Raw genomic sequence first — 18,041 nt, forward strand, 5'->3', positions numbered from 1 at the left:
CTCAAGATCACATGCCCATGAATCCAACCCCTGCTTAGCAAGACGGAAGAACCGGGGAGGGGAGAGGGAGAAAGTTGCTCCATTGTAGCTACTGGAGAAATCAGAGGCTGTGGGGCCACAGAGGGAATGGAAAATGTCTCTCTTCTTTTCTTGATCTCTGGCCTTCCCAGGAGCAGAGATAGCAGCCCAATCCCTTAGACGCCAGGGTGATGCCGGATTTGGGGACCCTGGACCATTTTAGATTCTGCTGGCTTAGAGAGGCAGTTCTGGGATTCCTGAGGCCACTCCTTGTGCAACAGTCTCAGTTTTGCCAGAAATAACCTGGGGGACTTGAGGGGAGCGGGAGCCCATTGCGTCATAGTTGCTAGGCAACCCCCAGCCTGAAGGAGCGCATCGTCCCCCGTTGCCCTCCGGTGGCCGCTCTCGCATGCTGCAGGCTCTGTCCCGACTGAGGAATAGCAGCACTGCCACCTGGTGGATCCGCGGCGCTCAGAGAGCCCATTCAAGCGCATCCAGTTCCTCCCGCGGAGACCAAGCCCGGTCAGGCAAGTTCCGTGTTCTGCAGCTCTGGGCAGCTCAGAGCTTCTGAGGCTGGGGATCCCTCAGCTCCACGTTAGCGGTTTCCTCCGGAGCTGGTGCTGCTGCTTTCTTCTCTTTTTCCAATTTTGCTCCCCAATGTGCTGAACTCCTATGAACTCCAGTGGGGAAGGCACCAGGCTCAAGAGGTGGAAGAAGAGACCCAGACTGGCAAACGAGACATGGGGTTTTACTGGGGCTTACATACAGGGGAGAGAGTCCGCTGGTGGTGAGCGGGGGCAGGAGAAACCACAACCGGTTGCAAAAAGCAGTTTCTATAGCATTTCCACTTAGCACCTTCACCCTAACAACCTCCACCTGGGGATCTTCATTCAACCCAGACTTGGGCCTGGACCTTTCCCTTTATGTCCCGTGTTCCACAGCCTGGGGCCTCAGATGTTTCTCATAGACAAGGAAGGACTCTCCAGGTTGGCGACTCCTGGATTCCCTAGCTTGGAAGATACATTCAGGTGTGCCTGCCACACAGGGCCATTCTCAGGCTGTGCTTAAGTTCCTGCGGTCAGGTGCGGTTACCATACACTCCTAGGTGTTCAGGCCAACAGCTGGTGCCCCGAAACTGGTCAGGAGAGAAGGGACAGGCCACCGTGAGGCTGTTTGTTGTGTTCCTAAGGAAGAGAAGAGCCCTCCAGCTGCCCTGGATTATTGTCCGGGTGTAAGTATTTTATTCCAGTCCACCTTGGCTCCCTGGGTCTCTGGTGCCATGTGGCCTCTAACTACATTTAGCCTCTCCTTTGTATGTGTATGTGAGGACAAGATTCCTTTTCCTTTAGATTGGCCAAGGCTGGGTGGAATTTCAAAAGAACTTTGCCAAGGAACAAAGTCAAGGTCAAACGCAAAACCTAGAAGGGACATGTGCAGAGAAGATTCCAAACAGAGATGTCAGGGGCCTCTCAGACAAGTTTGGTTGAGAGGCTTTGCATATGAGAACCCTGGTTCCTTCCTAGAGTCCTGCTTCTCCTTGCGGGCCCGGATGCAGGAAAGGCTCCCCTGTTTGGTCTCGGGGATTCCTAGACCCCACAGGAAGGAACTGCACTTTTTCCAGCCCCTGCAAGGAAATGTCTGTGTGGGCCCAGAAGGTGGATTCCTCATTGGGCACAGTTGGTGTCAGTCATCTCGCGGCTTGGCAAATAGCCGGGAACTGTGGGTGTTCCTCCACGGCAAAATGAAAAGAGGGGCGGGGCCTTCTGACAAGGGGAATGAGTCCTGGTCCCGGTTGGTGGGTCAGGGTGGACTCCAGCAAAGCTAGGCCTTGAGGCCTCAGAGCAGTAGGCGAAAAAGCTTCAGTGACAGCCAGTGATAACCGCTTGTCACCCTGGCAGCCTTACTCATTTAAAGACGACCCATCTATGGCAAGGGAGGGCGGCCGTAGTTTAGGAAGGGCAGGAGGCGAGGGTTAGCTAACATTCTGAGCTCACCCAACACACCCAGCACACTCAGGGGGACCATGGAGGGTTGAGAAGACCCAGGACGCTGCAGCAACCAAAATGGCTGCCAGGGATGGAGACCCAGAGGGATAGGAGAGGAAAGAGAGACCCAGCTTGGCTGTGTGACACAGGGGATGAGCTCCATTGTAGCTACTGGAGAAATCAGAGGCTGTGGGGCCACAGAGGGAATGGAAAACGTCTCTCTTCTTTTCTTGATCTCTGGCCTTCCGAGGAGCAGAGATAGCAGCCCAATCCCTTAGACGCCAGGGTGATGCCGGATTTGGGGACCCTGGACCATTTTAGATTCTGCTGGCTTAGAGAGGCAGTTCTGGGATTCCCGAGGCCACTCCTTGTGCAACAGTCTCAGTTTTGCCAGAAATAACCTGGCGGACAAGATACACGGCAAACCCACAGAAAGGCAACCGGGACTGGCCTGGGGCCTGGCTGGCCAGAGAGCGTGTCATATGGGGACATTCAGAGTTTGTCCTGAAGCCCTTTGTAGCCCCGGTGTTTCCTCTGACTTTCTCTTTACCGGGCCTCTGAGCTTCTCCTCTCGGAGTGCTGGGGCCCTCAACTCAGGCCCTCTTCAAGGTGCAGAGGAGAGTTAGTGGAGGGGAGCCCCAGCCGGCCCTGATGGCCCAGCTCTGGGGGGTAGGACAGGACAGTTACTAAAAAGGGGACAAAGGCCATTGTATTTTCGAACATCCGGCCTCTCTGCCATCTGCTCTGGACTGGAAGCGGCTTTGGGAACGTGCACGTGCACCAGCCCTTCAGTAAGGACATCCGGCCTGTCGCTATTTCCCCCGCCCCTTACTGCTTTCCGAGTGGGGTTATGGCCACATCTTGGGTAGCTGCCCAAAGCTTTCATTATCCCCGGACAAGTGCAGGCCCACTTCAGGCCCTGAGGAGTGCTAGCTCATTCTTTTACTTTGGGCAAAGAGGGCGGCTGTCACTTTCTTGTTCATGCTGAGGATTCGGCTCACTCAAGATATCTGATGCCCTTGTGACAGCGTCTGGCTGTCAGAGCTCATAGACCATCTGCTGGGACTGCCCTAGGCCCCTCCTTTAGGGCACAGAACGTGGCAATAATGTGTCCCATTTGGCAGCCTGTGTGACATTTCTTCTTGTATCTTATCAGGTGACTCAAATAATGATCATGCCTGTTGACACTTGGAGCTCTCAAAGGGAATTCTGAGCAGCAAAGGAAAGGTGACACAGAACTCAAGGGCACTGGCGCTGAGCGCTGCCCATGCAGCTGGCAATTAAGCCATTGCCGAAAACAACAATAAAACAGATTTTGGGCAAGTAGGGAATGGTGGATTGAATCCAGTGTGGCAAAAAAGGAAATGCAAAGTGAGGAATGTAGTTTCCAGATAAATAAATTATATAATTGTGATTCACCACTTGTGCAAAGAGCAGACTCCAGTGTTTGTAGGATTTATGTTCTGGAAGGAAGATTTAATATTTGAGCCTACTGCTGAGATTATTTTTAATTTTGTTGGAACTGTTTCTTTTTACTGAACAATGCTTTATTAAGTGCTGACTAAGCGGACAGCCACTGGGTTGTTCTCTGGATGGTGGATGAGTCACAGTTGGGTTTGGGAGATGAGGGGAGGAGCAGGGAGCTCTTTAATGCCAGCAATTCCAGGGACAAGGCTTAGGACCATGGGAGAGGAGGGACAAAGAGGGGGTGGGGCACAGCTGGAGATGAGGAAGGGGCTGGGAGCAAGGGCTCAGAGCTGGTGGGAAGGTGGGGGTGAGGGGAGCGTGGAGGAGGGTGCAAAACCAGACTTTCATTCGTGAGTCCCTGAGCATCCCCTGCCACGCCTCCTCTCTCACTGCACGCCCATTGCGTGTTCTTGTCTGTCTCCCTATAGGCTGTGAGATGGGCAGAGACCTGGCCTGAGTCACCTTTGTACTCGTAATGCCTCCCACAGTGCCTGGCCACAGGGGTGCATGGAGGGTAAGGGGGTGAGCAGTTGGCAGAGAAAGAAGGACCAAGAGGTCACAGTCTCCACCACATTTAGATCCAGTGAGCAGTGCGTCCTTGTCTGTGACAACTGGTTATCATAAGAGAGACCATAGCGGTCCTTGCGCTCTAGGGCCACCAGGGAGCTCATGCAGCTTTTCTAGGCTTGGGAGAGAGAAGGTGGGTTGGGGGAGCTTAGGAAGGACACACTCTCAGGAAGTGGTGTCTCTTCCAGGGACATCCAGCCTAGACTATAAGGTCCGGAGCAGCTGGTCAGGATATCAGGCTCTTGAGATAGGTGGATTTGTTCTACGAATGTGGCCCACACAGCAAACAATATTTTAAACTTAATTTTTAAAATTATTTTTACTTCAATAGGTTTTGGGGAACAGGTGGTGTTTGGTTACATGGATAACTTCTTGAGAGGTGATTCCTGAGCTTTTGGTGCACCCATCACCCGAGCCGTATACACTGTACCCAATCAGCAAACAACATTTTAAAATAACTAAGTTGTGTCAACAAATATAAAGCAGCAAGTCCTCAAAACTACTGAAAAGAGCCCAGAAGTGGGGAACATTTCTCTGAGATCAGAGGAGTCCTTAGGCAATATTTCCCCAAGTGGGGAAGGATACCAGTAGTGGTGTGTGAGATGATTTTAGGTGTGGTTTTGATAGTTTAGCTGTCACAGTTATATATTTTCATGTGTTTTAGAAAAAAATACAATGAGTACTTGAGCCCCATAATTTTGCAGACAGTATTGTGTAGGATAAGTCTAAATACATATGTTAAAACTAGTGAATTGATTTAAAGGAAAAGTACTAACTTTATAACTGTACAGTTAGTAGGCATATGATATGGTTTGGATCTGTGTTCCTGCCCAAATCTCATGTTGAACTGCAATCCCCAGTGTTGGAGGTGGGGCCTAGTGAGAGGTGATTGGATGATGAGGACAGATTCCCCCTTGGTGCTTTTGTGATAGTGAGTGAGGTTTCATGAGATCTGGTCATTTAAAAGTGTGTCGCACCTCCCCCCTCTCTCTCTTACCCCTGCTCTGGCCATCTAAGACATGTCTGCTTCTCCTTCACCTTCTGCTATGATTGTAAGTTTCCTGAGGTCTCCCCAGAAGCAGAGCCACTGTGTTTCCTGTACAACCTGCAGAACCACGAGCCAATTAAACCTCTTTTCTTTATAAATTACCCAGTTCCAGGAATTTCTTTTTTTTCTTTTCTTTTCTTTCTTTCTTTTTTTTTTTTCAAGACAGAGTCTCACTCTGTCACCCAGGCTGGAGTGCAGTGGTGCCATCTTGGCTCACTGCAACCTCTACCTCCCGGGTTCAAGCAATTCTCATGTCTCAGCCTCCAGAGTAGCTGGGATTACAGGTGTGCGCCACCATGCCGGGCTAATTTTTGTATTTTTAGTAGAGATGGGGTTTTGCCATGTTGGCCAGACTGGTTTCGAACTCCTGACCTCAAGTGATCCACCCACCTTGGCCTCCCAAAGTGCTAGGATTACAGGCGTGAGCCACTGCACCTGGCCCCAGTTTCAGGTATTTCTTTATAGCAGTGCAAGAATGGACTAATACAGCATACACAGCAAGAAATTGTGACAATGCCAGGGAAAGGACTAAAATGTCAGAAATCATTGCTTCAAGTCGGAGGATCTTAGCTCTGGTTAAGCGCTGGAATCACCTGGAGTGTTTCAAAACATATCAGTGTCTGAGCCTCATCTCTACAGGTTCACACTGGCATTAAATTACATTAATTAATTTTTATTTTTTGTAGAAATAGGGTCTCACTATGTTGTCCAGGCTGGTCTTGAACTGAGCTCAACTGATTCTCCAGCCTTGGCCTCCCAAAGTGCAGGGATTACAGGTGTGAGCCACCATGTCAGGCTCACACTGGTATTTTATTAAACATTCCCCTCCCCCGACATCCCCTCAAAACCCCAGAGATTCTAATATGGAGTCAGGTTTAAGAACCATTGTCCTAAACCAATATATTCTTTCCTATGGTTGATTTCCACTACAATTTCCACTGTGGTTGAAAGTTATTTCTTATTATTGCTTCTCCTTGGTATGAAAATGCAAATACACAGTATGCATATTTATTTTAGAAAGTAAGCTTGAGGGCAGGACCCATGCCTATTTCTATTCTGTTTATCAAGCAACAGAAAGGGCTGCACATAAACGCATGGACTTAGGAAGGGGAACAATACACATCAGGGCCTGTTGGGTTGGTGGTGGGTGAGGGGAGGGAGAGCATCAGGACAAATAGCTAATGCATTAGGTGATGGGTTGATAGGTGCAGCAGACTACCATGACACACGTATACCTATATAACAAACCTGCATGTTCTGCACATGTATTCTGAAACTTAAAGTTAAAAAAAAAAAAAAAGAAAGGGCTGAACGTAGCACGTTCTAATGTTTAGGCTGCTTGGTTGGGACTGTGATCTGTGAGCACCTCTCTTGCTCTGCTGGCTTTGCTGTTGTTGATGGCATTACAGTTGAGTGGCCAGAACATGGGGACTGGCAGTCAGGAATCCTCGGCTTTGGCCTCACCTCAGGCACTAGCTGGACTTTGGTTAAGTGGCCTCATCTTTCTGAGAGATTAGGAATTTGGCTCCAGCACCTCCTTCATAGACCATATTCTTTCAACAGACCCTGATCACTGCAGTGGTTTTGCTCAGGAAGCAGGGGGTTCAGGAGGGGGGAAGCAGTGGCTGTAGTGCTATAGGAATCCCCAAATAATCTCTCAGCAGAGTTACTAGGCTTAGGAACTTTCTTCTTTAGTTTCGCCACGTCAAAAGGTGTGTAGATCCTGGGGGAGTCCATTTTTGCATTCCTAGGGGAGTCAGAAACTCAGAGACCACAGAGGGTGGGATGGGTAGGGTGAGGGGGTGGGGGTGAGCAGTGACTTGGAGAATGATCTCAGGATATTGGACAAAGCTGTGACGTCACTAGAATTCAATTAGGTGACGTTTAAACATCTATAAGAGGTGTGTGGTCCTATGAGATAAGAAGCACATGAAAAGGATGCAGGATTCTGTAGAGATAGATGGACAAATATGTAGTTATAAGCCTTAATGGTCACATAAATACACAATCAGGTATAGAACCTGGATAGGGAGTTATGGACTACACTCTGGCTTGACCTTTAGTAACTGATCACTTGTAATCAAGGGACTAGTCTACTCAGCCACCTCCATCTTTAAGTTAGAAAGTTAAAAACTGGAAATAGGGCTCTACAGGTCCATAGAGTCAGCAGCTAAGATGCAGTCGGCATCCCACCCAGAATCTCTGGTTGATTAGCAACCTCAGGTGGCTGAGAAGGGAATACCTCTCTTGTGGATAGACATTTTACTAGCCCTGGGAAAATTTATTTTCATCTCGTTTAATTTTTTTAGCCCTGGGAAAATTTAAAATTAAGCACACAAATGTTTAGGGGAATCAAAACTATAGTTTTCATGTTTTCAAGTTAAAGAATTTGTGCATATATAATATTTGTGTAGGCATAATTTTAGAGAATTCGGCCTACTGGAATATTAGACCACCTTCAATATTTCATTTTAATGTATGTACTTGAATAATTGATTGAAATTTGTGATAAGTTGAAATATTTCCAAGTTTACATATAGTTTGGACATTGAAGAGAATTTAAGGTTCACTCTGTCTTGTATGCTGAATTTATTAAATCTGTAAGAATTACTTTTGTACTTGGGAAGTTTTATCAGTCAGATGAAATACTTAAAAAGGAATTGAATTTATTAAATTTATTAAGTGCCATTTAAAATGTTAAAGACTTTTAATTAACTAAGTGTGTAAATGGGGCTAAGCATTAATCAAAACCCTCTCAAAGTGATTGTTAATATTTGCTAGACTTATAAATAGGACAATAAGATTCCTAAGGTGATTTTAAAAGCGTTAAGGAAGAGCTATAAATTTCTAAATCTATAAATTTAATAAATTGAATACTGATTTTCAAAACCCCAGTAAATCTCAGAGTGGTCTTTTCAGTGCGCAAAAGCCACCCTCAAGGACATAAGACATAAAATATTTTCCTAACCAGTGAGTCTTCAGCAGTGCAGGGGGAGAGAACGGAAGTGGGAAAGGGAGAAAGGAAAGTAAGATTTTAGTGTCATTGGATTGTCTTGTTCCCAAGGTCAGGCTAGATGGTATATTCTGCACCATGCCAAATTGCTCATCTCACAGGAGACTGTAATTAAACACACGCTTACTGTGCGGGGGATCAGAATTGCTGAGGAGGGTATTTGGCAACTAAGAAAGCAGGTTAAATCGTGATGGCTTTGGGGTCTTAGCAGTCCCTCTCAGTAAGCCCTTCTAAGTTACATTCTACTGTTCTGTTTGCTGTTAATTATTCCTCAGATAATTTCCCCTGAGCAAGAATAAGGACATTCTGTGGTAGAGGCTGAGGTTTTTGTTTCCCAGGGGGTTTGCTGCTGAGAGCCAGTGGGAATGTGTATCAGTCAAAATTCTTATTTGCACCAAACAGAAGCCAGCTCCAGCTAATTTAAGCAGAAACAGGGCTGTTGAAAAGCCATTCACAGACACTGGGAAGGTAGGAGACTCCAACTCAGAACCATGGTCACAGACATGCCACAGAAAACATCCGGTGGCAATGTGGCTGTTGCTGTGGAACGTGAGATGCCACAGTTGCGCCCCTGGTGGGGGATATCACCCCTGGAACGGCCACCAGGAGGATTCTGCACTGCCCCTCTTCTCTGCATCCATCACTAATACCTGCATCCATCACAAGGTCTCAGGTGGATGTTCCTGACTGGCTTATGTCATGTGCCTGTGTCGAAGTTGCTAGAAGGCTGGGAAAGAGGCTTTTGGCATTTCAGCTTCTGTGGTGGGAGGCAGCTCTGGCTCTGACACTCAGTAGTGATGTGTTGGAGCTAGCTTACAAGAGCTGCTTGTAAAAATTTCAGGGACTTGTGAACTGGTTGTTAAACATAGTCATTATTAAAAAGTAAATTATAGTAGATATACTGTTTCTATTCCTCTTGCAAAGTATAAAAGAAATATAAGTCTCTGAATGGAGGCAAGAAGAAGGCAGACCAGCTAGGGACCTTGGGACCCAAGGAATAATACATTACTGAGTTCCTTGTATTTTCTTTTTGTGTCATATATCCCAGACTTGGAGCTGAAGAAGCTGGCAATGCAGAAATGCCAATAGGTGTAGGCAAAAAAGCCCCAACCAAAGTCTGCTCTCTCTAGTCAAAGGGGTAGGAAAGAAGAAACAGAGCAAGACAGAAAACTTTCAGACAGTAACAGCCAAATGCAGCAGAAAAATCTGTGATCTCCCCATCCCAACTCAGGCTAACAAAGGCTAAATTGGCAGCTTATACTTCCAACCTTGAGAAACTGTCAAGGCACCTCAGTACTCACGATGAAGTGATGTCATAGGAGACCAAGTAGAGCCTGGACTTCCAGCCCCATCTAGCAGTAATAAGGCACTCTTCCTCCTTCCCACTGTGTTGGGAGCAAGCCCCCCAAAATCTGGCCATAAACTGGTCCCAAAACTGGCCATAAATAAAATCTCTGCAGCACTGTAGCATGTCCATAATGGCCCTAACGCCCAAGCTGGAAGGTTCTGGGTTTACGTGAATGAGGGCAAGGAATACCTGGCCCGCCTAGGGCGGAAAACCGCTTAAAGGCATTCCTAAGCCACAAACAAAAGCATGAGCCATCTGTGTCTTAAGGTGTGTTCCTGCTGAAATTAATTCGGCCCATCCCTTCATTTCCCATAAGGGATACTTTTAGTTAATTTAATATCTATAGAAACCATGCTAATGACTGGTTTACTGTTAAGAAATATGTGGGTAAATCTCTGTTCGGGGCTCTCAGCTCTGAAGGCTGTGAGACCCCTGATTTCCCACTTCACACCTCTATATTTCTGTGTGTGTTTCTTTAATTCCTCTAGCGCCGCTAGGTTAGGGTCTCCCTGACCCAGCTGGTCTCGGCACCACTGGATGGTGTCAGAGGATGCCTAGTGGGGAGTCAGAACCTTTGTAATCATTCAGCAGTAAGAGACAGAGAGGGATACTATGTAATGATAAAATAGTCAATTCACCAAGAAGACATAGCAATCCTAAATGTACATGTACCAAACAACAGAGCTGCAAAATAGGAGAAGCAAAACCCAATTGAACTGAAAAGAGAAACAGACAAATCACAGTTGTAACTGGAGACTTCAACACCCCTCTCTCAACAATTGCTAGAACAATTGATAGCTAAAGTCAGCAAGGATATAGAAGAACTCAACATCAACTGAGAGGATTTAATTGACATTTATAGAACACTAAGACTAAACCATCAGAATACAAATTCTTTTTGCATGTTCATGGAACATATACCAAGATAGACCCTATTCTGGGCTATAAAACACATTGCAACAAACTTAAGAGAATTAAAATAATATAGAGTTTTCTGACCACAATGGAATTAAACTAGAATAACAGAAAAATAATAGGAAAATCTCCAAACACTTGGAAACTAAACCAACATATTTTAAGTAATTAATGAGTCAAAAGGGAAGACTCAAGGAAAATTTAAAAAATTATTGAACTAAATGAAAACTAAAATATAGCACATCAAAATTTGTGGGACACAGCCAAAGCAATGCTGAGAGGGAAATATATAGCATTAAATGTGTACATTAGAAAAGAGGAGAAGTTTCAAACTAATAATCTAAGCTCCCACCTGAAGAACCTAGAAAAGATAAGCAAACTAAACCCAAAGTGAACGGAAGGAAGGAAATAATAAAGATAAGAGTAGATATAAGCAAAATTGAAAACAGAAAAACAATAGAGAAAATCAATGAAACAAAGAATTTGTTCTTTGAAAAGGTCAATAAAATTGACAAATCTCTAGCAAGACTGACAAAAAGGAGGACACATATTACCAACATCAAGAATGAAACAGGCCGGGTGCAGTGGCTCACGCCTGTAATCCCAGCACTTTGGGAGGCCGAGGCAGGTGGATCACCTGAGGTCAGGAGTTTGAGACCAGCCTGGCCAACGTGGTGAAACCCCATCTCTACTAACAATACAAAAATTAGCTGGGCGTGGTAGTGCATGCCTGTAATCCCAGCTACTCGGGAGGCTGAGGCACGAGAATTCCTTGAACTTGGGACACAGAGGTTTCAGTGACAGAGTGAGACTCCGTCTCAAAAAAAAAAAAAAAAAAGAAATGGGATATCACTGAAGACCTTGCAGCAGACATCAAAGACTGATAAGTGAATACTATGAATAAGTTTGCACACATAAATTTAGCGACCTAGATGAAATAGACCATTTCTCAAAAAACCACAAATGACCACAACTCACTCTATATAAAAGAGCTAATTTGAAGCTGGGCACCATGGCTTGTGCCTGTAATCCCTGCTGCTCAGGAGGCTGAGATGGGAGGATCACTGCAGTCTAGGAAGTCTAGGAGTTTAAGGCTGCAGTGAGCTGTGATCAAGCCACTGCACTCTAGTCTGAGTGACAGAGTGAGACCCTGTCTCTTAAAAAAAAGAGACAATAGCCCTGTAATGAATAGCCTCTAATGAATAGCCCTGTAATGATTAACAAAGCTAATTTCTTAAATTAAAACTCCTCCTCACCTACCCCACCTCCAAATTTCCAGGCCAAGATGGTTTGACTGAAGAATGTTACTAAATATTTAAATAAGAATTGCTACCAATTTTACACAACCTCTTCCAGAAATAGAAGAGGAGGTAATACTTCCTAATGAACTTTATGAAGCTAGTATTCCTCTGATATCAAGACCAGACAAAAATAATCCCCAAAAAAGAAATCTAAAGACTAGCATCTCTCCTGAATATAGATGCAAGAAATCTTTAACAAAATATTAGCAAATATAATTCATCAATATAGAAAAAAATTATATATCATGATCATGTGGAATTTATTAGAGATGAAAAGCTGTTTCAGTATTTAAAAATCAATTATGGTAATCCACCATGTTAACAAGTTAAAAAAATCACATGATCCTATCAATTGACACAGAAAATGCATCTGACAAAATTCAACATCCATTTATGTTAATAACTCTTAGGAAAATAGAAGTGGAGGGGGGCTTCCTCAACTTGACAAAGGGTGTCTACACAAAATCTACAGCTAATATTGTACTTAATGGTGAGAGAGTGAATGCACTTCCCCTAAGATTGGGAACAAGGTAAGGATATCCTCTCTTACCACTCTTATTCAATCCAGTGCTGGAAGTTCTAGCTAGTGCAACACGCAAGAAAAAGAAACAAAAGACATACAGGTCAGAAAAAAAATTGTCCCTGTTTGCAGATAACATAACTGTCTACATAGAAAATCCTAAGACATCTATAAAAATGAAAACAAAACAAAAAAACTTTTGGAACAAGTGATTTAGTTCAACAAGAATCATAGGATACAAGATAAATATACAAAAATCCATTGCATTTCTATATATTAGCAGTAAACACATGTATACCAAAATTAACAGTACAATACCATATGCAGCCCACTCAAAAGTGAAATACTTTTTTATAAATCTAATAAAAATTTACAGAATCTACATGCTGAAAACTTCTGTATTAGTCTATTTTGTGTTGCTATAAAGAAATACCTGAAACTGGATAATTTATAAAGAAAAGAGGTTTGTTTGGCTCATGATGCTGCAGGCTGTGCAACAAGCATGTGCCAGCATCTGCTTCTGGTGAAGCCCTCAGGAACCTTACAATCATAGTGGAAGGGAAGGGAGGAGCAGGCGTGTCATAAGGTGATAGAGAAAGCAAGGGGGTGGGGAGGTGCCACACTGTTTAAAAACCAGATCTTGTGGTAACTAATAAAGTGAGAACTCACTCATTACCATGAGGATGGCACCAACCCATTCTTGAGGTATCCACCCCCAGGACCCAAACACCTCCCACTAATCCCCACCTCTAACGTTGAGGTGACATGAGATTTGAAGAGGACAAATATCCAAACTATATTAACTACTCAAGGTTGATGAAAGAAATCAATGAAGATCTAAATAAATGGAGAGACATACTACGTTCCTGGATTGGAAGATTCAGCATTGTAAAGTTGTCAATTTGTCCTAAACTAATATATATAGGTTTAATGCAATTTTTATTGAAATCTAAGCAAAGCTTTTTTGTAGATATAGACAAAATTATTTTAGAATTTATATGGAAAGGCATAGAAACCAGAATAGCTAAAATAATTTTGTAAAAGGAGAATAAAGTGGGATGAATCAGTTTACCTGATTTTAAGACTTATTATATAGTTACAGTAATCAAGACTGTGTGGTATTGGTGGAGGGATAGTTGCAAAGACTGATAGAACAGAATTTAAAAACCTAGAAATAGACCAACATAAATATACCCAACCAATTTTTGACAAAAGGTGCAAAAGTAATTCATTGAAGAAAAAATACCCTTTTCAACAAATGGTGATGGAGCAAAAGGACATCCATTGGCAAACACAAACAAACAAAACTCTGATATAAATCTCATACCTTATGCAATAATTAACTCAAAATAGATCATAGAATTAAATGTAAAACTTGAAACTATAAACATTTTTAGAAGAAAACAGGAGAACATCTTTGGGTTTAGGGTTAGGCAAAGAGTTCTTTGACTTGACAACAAAAGCATAAAAGGAAAGAAAAAATTGATTAAATAGACTTCACTAAAATTTTAAAATTTTATGCTGCAAAAGACCTTGTTAAGAGGATGAAAAAACAAAGTACAGAGTGGGAGAAAATATTTGCAAACCACATATCTAATAAAGGACTAGTGTCTTGACTATATAAAGAATTCCTCAGGGCCAGGCATGGTGGCTCATGCCTGTAATCCCAGCACTTTGGGAGGCTGAGGCGGGTGGATCACGTGGTCAGGAGATCGAGATCATCCTGACTCACACAGTGAAACCCCATCTCTACTAAAAATACAAAAATTAGCCAGGTGTGGTGGCATGTGCCTGTAATCCTAGCTACTCGGGAGGCTGAGGCAGGAGAATCGTTTGAATCCGGGAGGCAGAGGTTGCAGTGAGCCAAGATCATGCCACTGCACTCCAGCCTGGGTAACAGAGCAAGAGTCTGTCTCAAAAAAAAAAAAAAAAAAAAAAAAAAAAAAAAAAAAAAAAAAAAATTCCTCAATCTCAACATCAAAAAACCAAACCATCCACTTAAAAAATGGGCAAAAGACATGAAGAAAAATTTTACTGAAGAGAATATGCAGATGGCAAATAAGCACATGAGAAGGTGTTCAATCTTATTAGCTATTAGGGAAATGCAAATTAAAACCATAATGAGGTATCACCATACACCTATCAGGATGTGAGAGAGAGAAAGAGAGAGAGACAGAGAGAGACAGAGAAACATGAAAAATAGTGATATCATCAAATGCTGGCCAGGATGTGGAGAAACTGGATTACTCATACATTACCAGTGGAAAGGTAAAATGGGACAACCACTCTGGAAAACAGTTTGGCAGTTTCTTAAAAACCTAAACATACAACTACCATATGACTCAGCAATTGCACTCTTGGGCATTTATCACAAAGAAAGGAAGACTTATATTCACACAATAAACTAAACAAATGTTTATAGCAGTTTTATTTGCAATAGCCAAAAACTGAGACAATGCAGATGTCCTTTAATGGGTGAATGGTGAATGGTGCAGTGATAAAGAATAAGCTTTTGACGCACACAACACAGTAAACTGTGTATCTCCAGAGAATAGCACTGAGTTGAAAAAGCCATTCTCAAAAGGCTACACAATGTATGATTCCATTTATACAATATTCTTACAGTGACAGTGTTGCAGAAATAGAGAACGGGTTAGTGGTTTCCAGAGGTTAGGGAGGGGACAGCTACAAAAAGGCAACTTGGGGGACCATTATTGTGATTGAAATGTTCTCTAATTTTGCCCCGTCCATGTCAATATTTTGGTTGTGACACTAATCTTAAAATAAAATGTATAATTAAAAAATAAATACATTATATTCAAACACAGGTAAATACATTATATTAAAAATAAAGGTACTAAACACTCAAAATTCATGACTTCCCAATTATTTTGTTACTTTTACTATTGTCTATATTCTGGAAGTTATTTATGTCTGTTATATCTGTATGGTGGAAATATTCTATAGTGATGTGCTATGGCACATTTCTTCCCAATTCTGCATTCAGTGATGTCACACTAATAGTTTGAAATTGGCCATTGTGGGAGTATTTACACCAGAGAAATCAGCAGACACTACAAATTAGGTCCTCCCCTCCTTTTTTTCGTAGATGGTTGTTAAACTTTTACCGGGACTGCTTTTAAGTTAGGGAATTTCTCATGCATAGGAAGTGGGTTTAGATGCTGGATGACTCCACCTCCCAAATAGCAAATGTCAATCAAAAAATGGATAATGTCTCAGATCAGTTATAGAGGAGGAAGAAGCTGGCTCTTCCTAAGGCTATTTCCTCTCTACCTCATTGCTTCCCTCATTTTATAAAAGGCTGTTGTGGACTGTGGTTGAAGCAGATGCTGGAGGAATGGAATCCTGGCTGTTTATAATCTCATTTCTTTAATATCCAGCATAGAGATGGCAGGATGGTAAAACTACAAAAAAATGGAGTTTTATGAATGCTCAGATCTCTTTTACACTTTTCCCTAGGCACTGCTGTTTCTAATCTTTCTCCATCAAAGTCAAATCCTTTTGTTAGCATTTTGATCTAGGGACCATGTAGCTAGTTATCAGCTTTGCTCTTCTGCAAGCTTTTCCATTCCTTGTGTGTCTAATTGGCCATAAATGAGATGGAAGCGGGAAGAGATGGGCCTGTGGATCTGATGAACCATCCTAGTCTATATTACAGCTATGGTGAAAGGTCCAAAGGCCAGGTCTGTATAGACAAGGGGCCACATGGTCATTGGTTTTAAGGAGTTCTCTTCACCCACTAGAGTTACGAAACTGGCACTGGCAGCATCCGTGGTCCTTGCCTCACAGAGAGGGGGGACCTCTCTGTAGCCACAGTGTGGCCAACACAGAACCGGGCAGAGATAAGAGACAGACAGACAGACAGAATCTTTTTTGGGCTGAGTCCCTGGGAACCTTTAAGTTCCTGGTCCCTGCAGCTTGTCCTCCCTAGCTAAATTCCATTTTCGGTTTAGGCAAATTCTAGTTGAGTTGTTTGGCACAAGCAGCTGAAAAAATTCCAGATAAACACATTCCCTACAGAGCACCCCTCATCCATATAGCCTCTCTTTCCTCCTCTGGCTCCACTCTGGAAACTATAAATGTGATCTAAAACTTCCAGTCGCAACCTAAAACCATGGGACACCTTTCCACCTAGAGATTTGGTTAACTTTGAAAGATAGGCTTCAGAGGTCCCCTGAGAAGCTGCCTTTCTCCTCTGTGCTGCATCCAGCCACAGAGTTGAGTCAGAGGCAGGGAAACAGCATGATTCTGCTGTTTTACAGCCTGAAAGAAACATCTGGACGGGAATGCACTTTTTTCTTTTTCAGAATACAAGAAACCTCCAAAAATCAAGCCGAATGTTTTTGAGAAACATTTTGTGGTGGTAAACGGATTGGGTGCAAAGACACCTCCGTCTTTGATTCCCATAGTCCCTGATTTATTTTGGCATGGGAGTGTCTGTAGTGCTACCATTCAGCCACATGTTAATTTTTTGTCTACGCAAGGTTGTAAACTGCATATGGTTTATTTCAATTAGCTTAATTGTTTTTGGTATTTAATAGCTAATTGTCTTAATTAGCTTCCAAAGCACAACAATGCTAAGAACGGTAATGACTACATCTTATCCATATGGTTACAGAAGACAGATGACTCAATTTCCCATCCTCAGGCTGTGTGAGTCTCAGGAGGACAGGGCAGATGTGCAAGGAAGAAGATGGATGTCCTCAAGAGAGCTGGCCCGGCCTTGAATGCAAAAACCTGAATATTAAGAATAAATGAGGAGGTGATGGACAGGGAAATAAAGCAGGAGAATGAAGGATTTATGGAGGACTCAAGTCATCTATTTCCTTAATGTAGATACCATGCAGTGATGCTGGGTGAATAATAATAAGAATAACAACAAATTTCACAGTGCCAGCAGGCTATATTGGCTCTGATCTGAAGAGGCAATGTTTGAAGACCAAATTGTGGGACATTGAGAGTGAGAAATGCCCTGTGGTGCAATCAGTCTTAGGAATAGCTGGTACCAGTCAAAGCCTGGGTGACATTTCTCTGGCAAATCTGGATCAGAAGTAGTTCATACCTAGTGCCTGGCATATATTAGGAGCTTAATATATGCTTTAATCAGCATCTGCCAGGAAATCCTGGGGGCTCAACCTTCAAAATCTATCTCTAACCTGACACTTAGCATCTCCTTTACTGCTGCATCCTGGTCTGATCCACCACTGTCTTTCACCTGGCTGCCTCTCCCAGCCTCCCAACTGGTCTCTTTCCATCTACCCTCAGCCCCTCTGTGTTTACTCTCAAAGCATAGCTAAAGGAATCCTTTAAAAGCAGAAATCATATCATATCCCTGCTCTTCTCAGAACCCTCCAATGGCTCCCATCTCACTTGGGATAAAAGCCAGAGTCCTTGCAATGACCAATAAAGTCCTTCTCCATCCTGTTGTGCCTTTCTGAGTTCATCTCCCACCATTCCCCAGCCCCCTCCGCTGTGCCACACTTAATTCCTTCACCTGTTCATGCTTTAGGGCTGTACTGCTTGAGTCATTTCCACTAGCCACATGCAGCTACTTAACATCAACTAAAATTAAAAGTTGAGGCTGGGCGTGGTGGCTCACCTCTGTAATCCCAGGTGAAGGAAAGAGATTTAATTGACTCACAGTTCCGTGTGGCTGGGGAGGCCTCAGGAAACTTACAATCATGGTGGAAGGTGAAGGAGAAGCAAGCACCTTCTTTACATGGCGTCAGGAAAAAGAGAGTGAGGGGGCACCTGCTAAACACTTTTAAACCATCAGATCTCGTGAGAACTCACTCAATCACTATCACGAGAACAGCGTGGGGGAAACCACCCCCATGA

General features: G+C 43.5%; 4 annotated features.

The window, feature by feature from the left end:
* Positions 585-634: an enhancer, noted in NCBI's record as "active region_17157". NCBI's record gives its function as "activates an Ori minimal core promoter by ATAC-STARR-seq in GM12878 lymphoblastoid cells {active_cell/tissue: GM12878}" and the evidence as "EXISTENCE:reporter gene assay evidence [ECO:0000049][PMID:35858748]".
* Positions 1,293-2,064: an enhancer, noted in NCBI's record as "H3K4me1 hESC enhancer chr2:220508228-220508999 (GRCh37/hg19 assembly coordinates)". NCBI's record gives its function as "activates a minimal SCP1, AML or CMV promoter by ChIP-STARR-seq in naive H9 embryonic stem cells {active_cell/tissue: H9 hESC(naive)}" and the evidence as "EXISTENCE:reporter gene assay evidence [ECO:0000049][PMID:30033119]".
* Positions 2,836-3,606: an enhancer, noted in NCBI's record as "H3K27ac-H3K4me1 hESC enhancer chr2:220509771-220510541 (GRCh37/hg19 assembly coordinates)". NCBI's record gives its function as "activates a minimal SCP1, AML or CMV promoter by ChIP-STARR-seq in naive H9 embryonic stem cells {active_cell/tissue: H9 hESC(naive)}" and the evidence as "EXISTENCE:reporter gene assay evidence [ECO:0000049][PMID:30033119]".
* Positions 3,607-4,376: an enhancer, noted in NCBI's record as "H3K4me1 hESC enhancer chr2:220510542-220511311 (GRCh37/hg19 assembly coordinates)". NCBI's record gives its function as "activates a minimal SCP1, AML or CMV promoter by ChIP-STARR-seq in naive H9 embryonic stem cells {active_cell/tissue: H9 hESC(naive)}" and the evidence as "EXISTENCE:reporter gene assay evidence [ECO:0000049][PMID:30033119]".

This window comes from Homo sapiens, chromosome 2 (assembly GCF_000001405.40).
Source record: "Homo sapiens chromosome 2, GRCh38.p14 Primary Assembly".
Classification (NCBI taxonomy): Eukaryota; Metazoa; Chordata; class Mammalia; order Primates; family Hominidae; genus Homo; species Homo sapiens.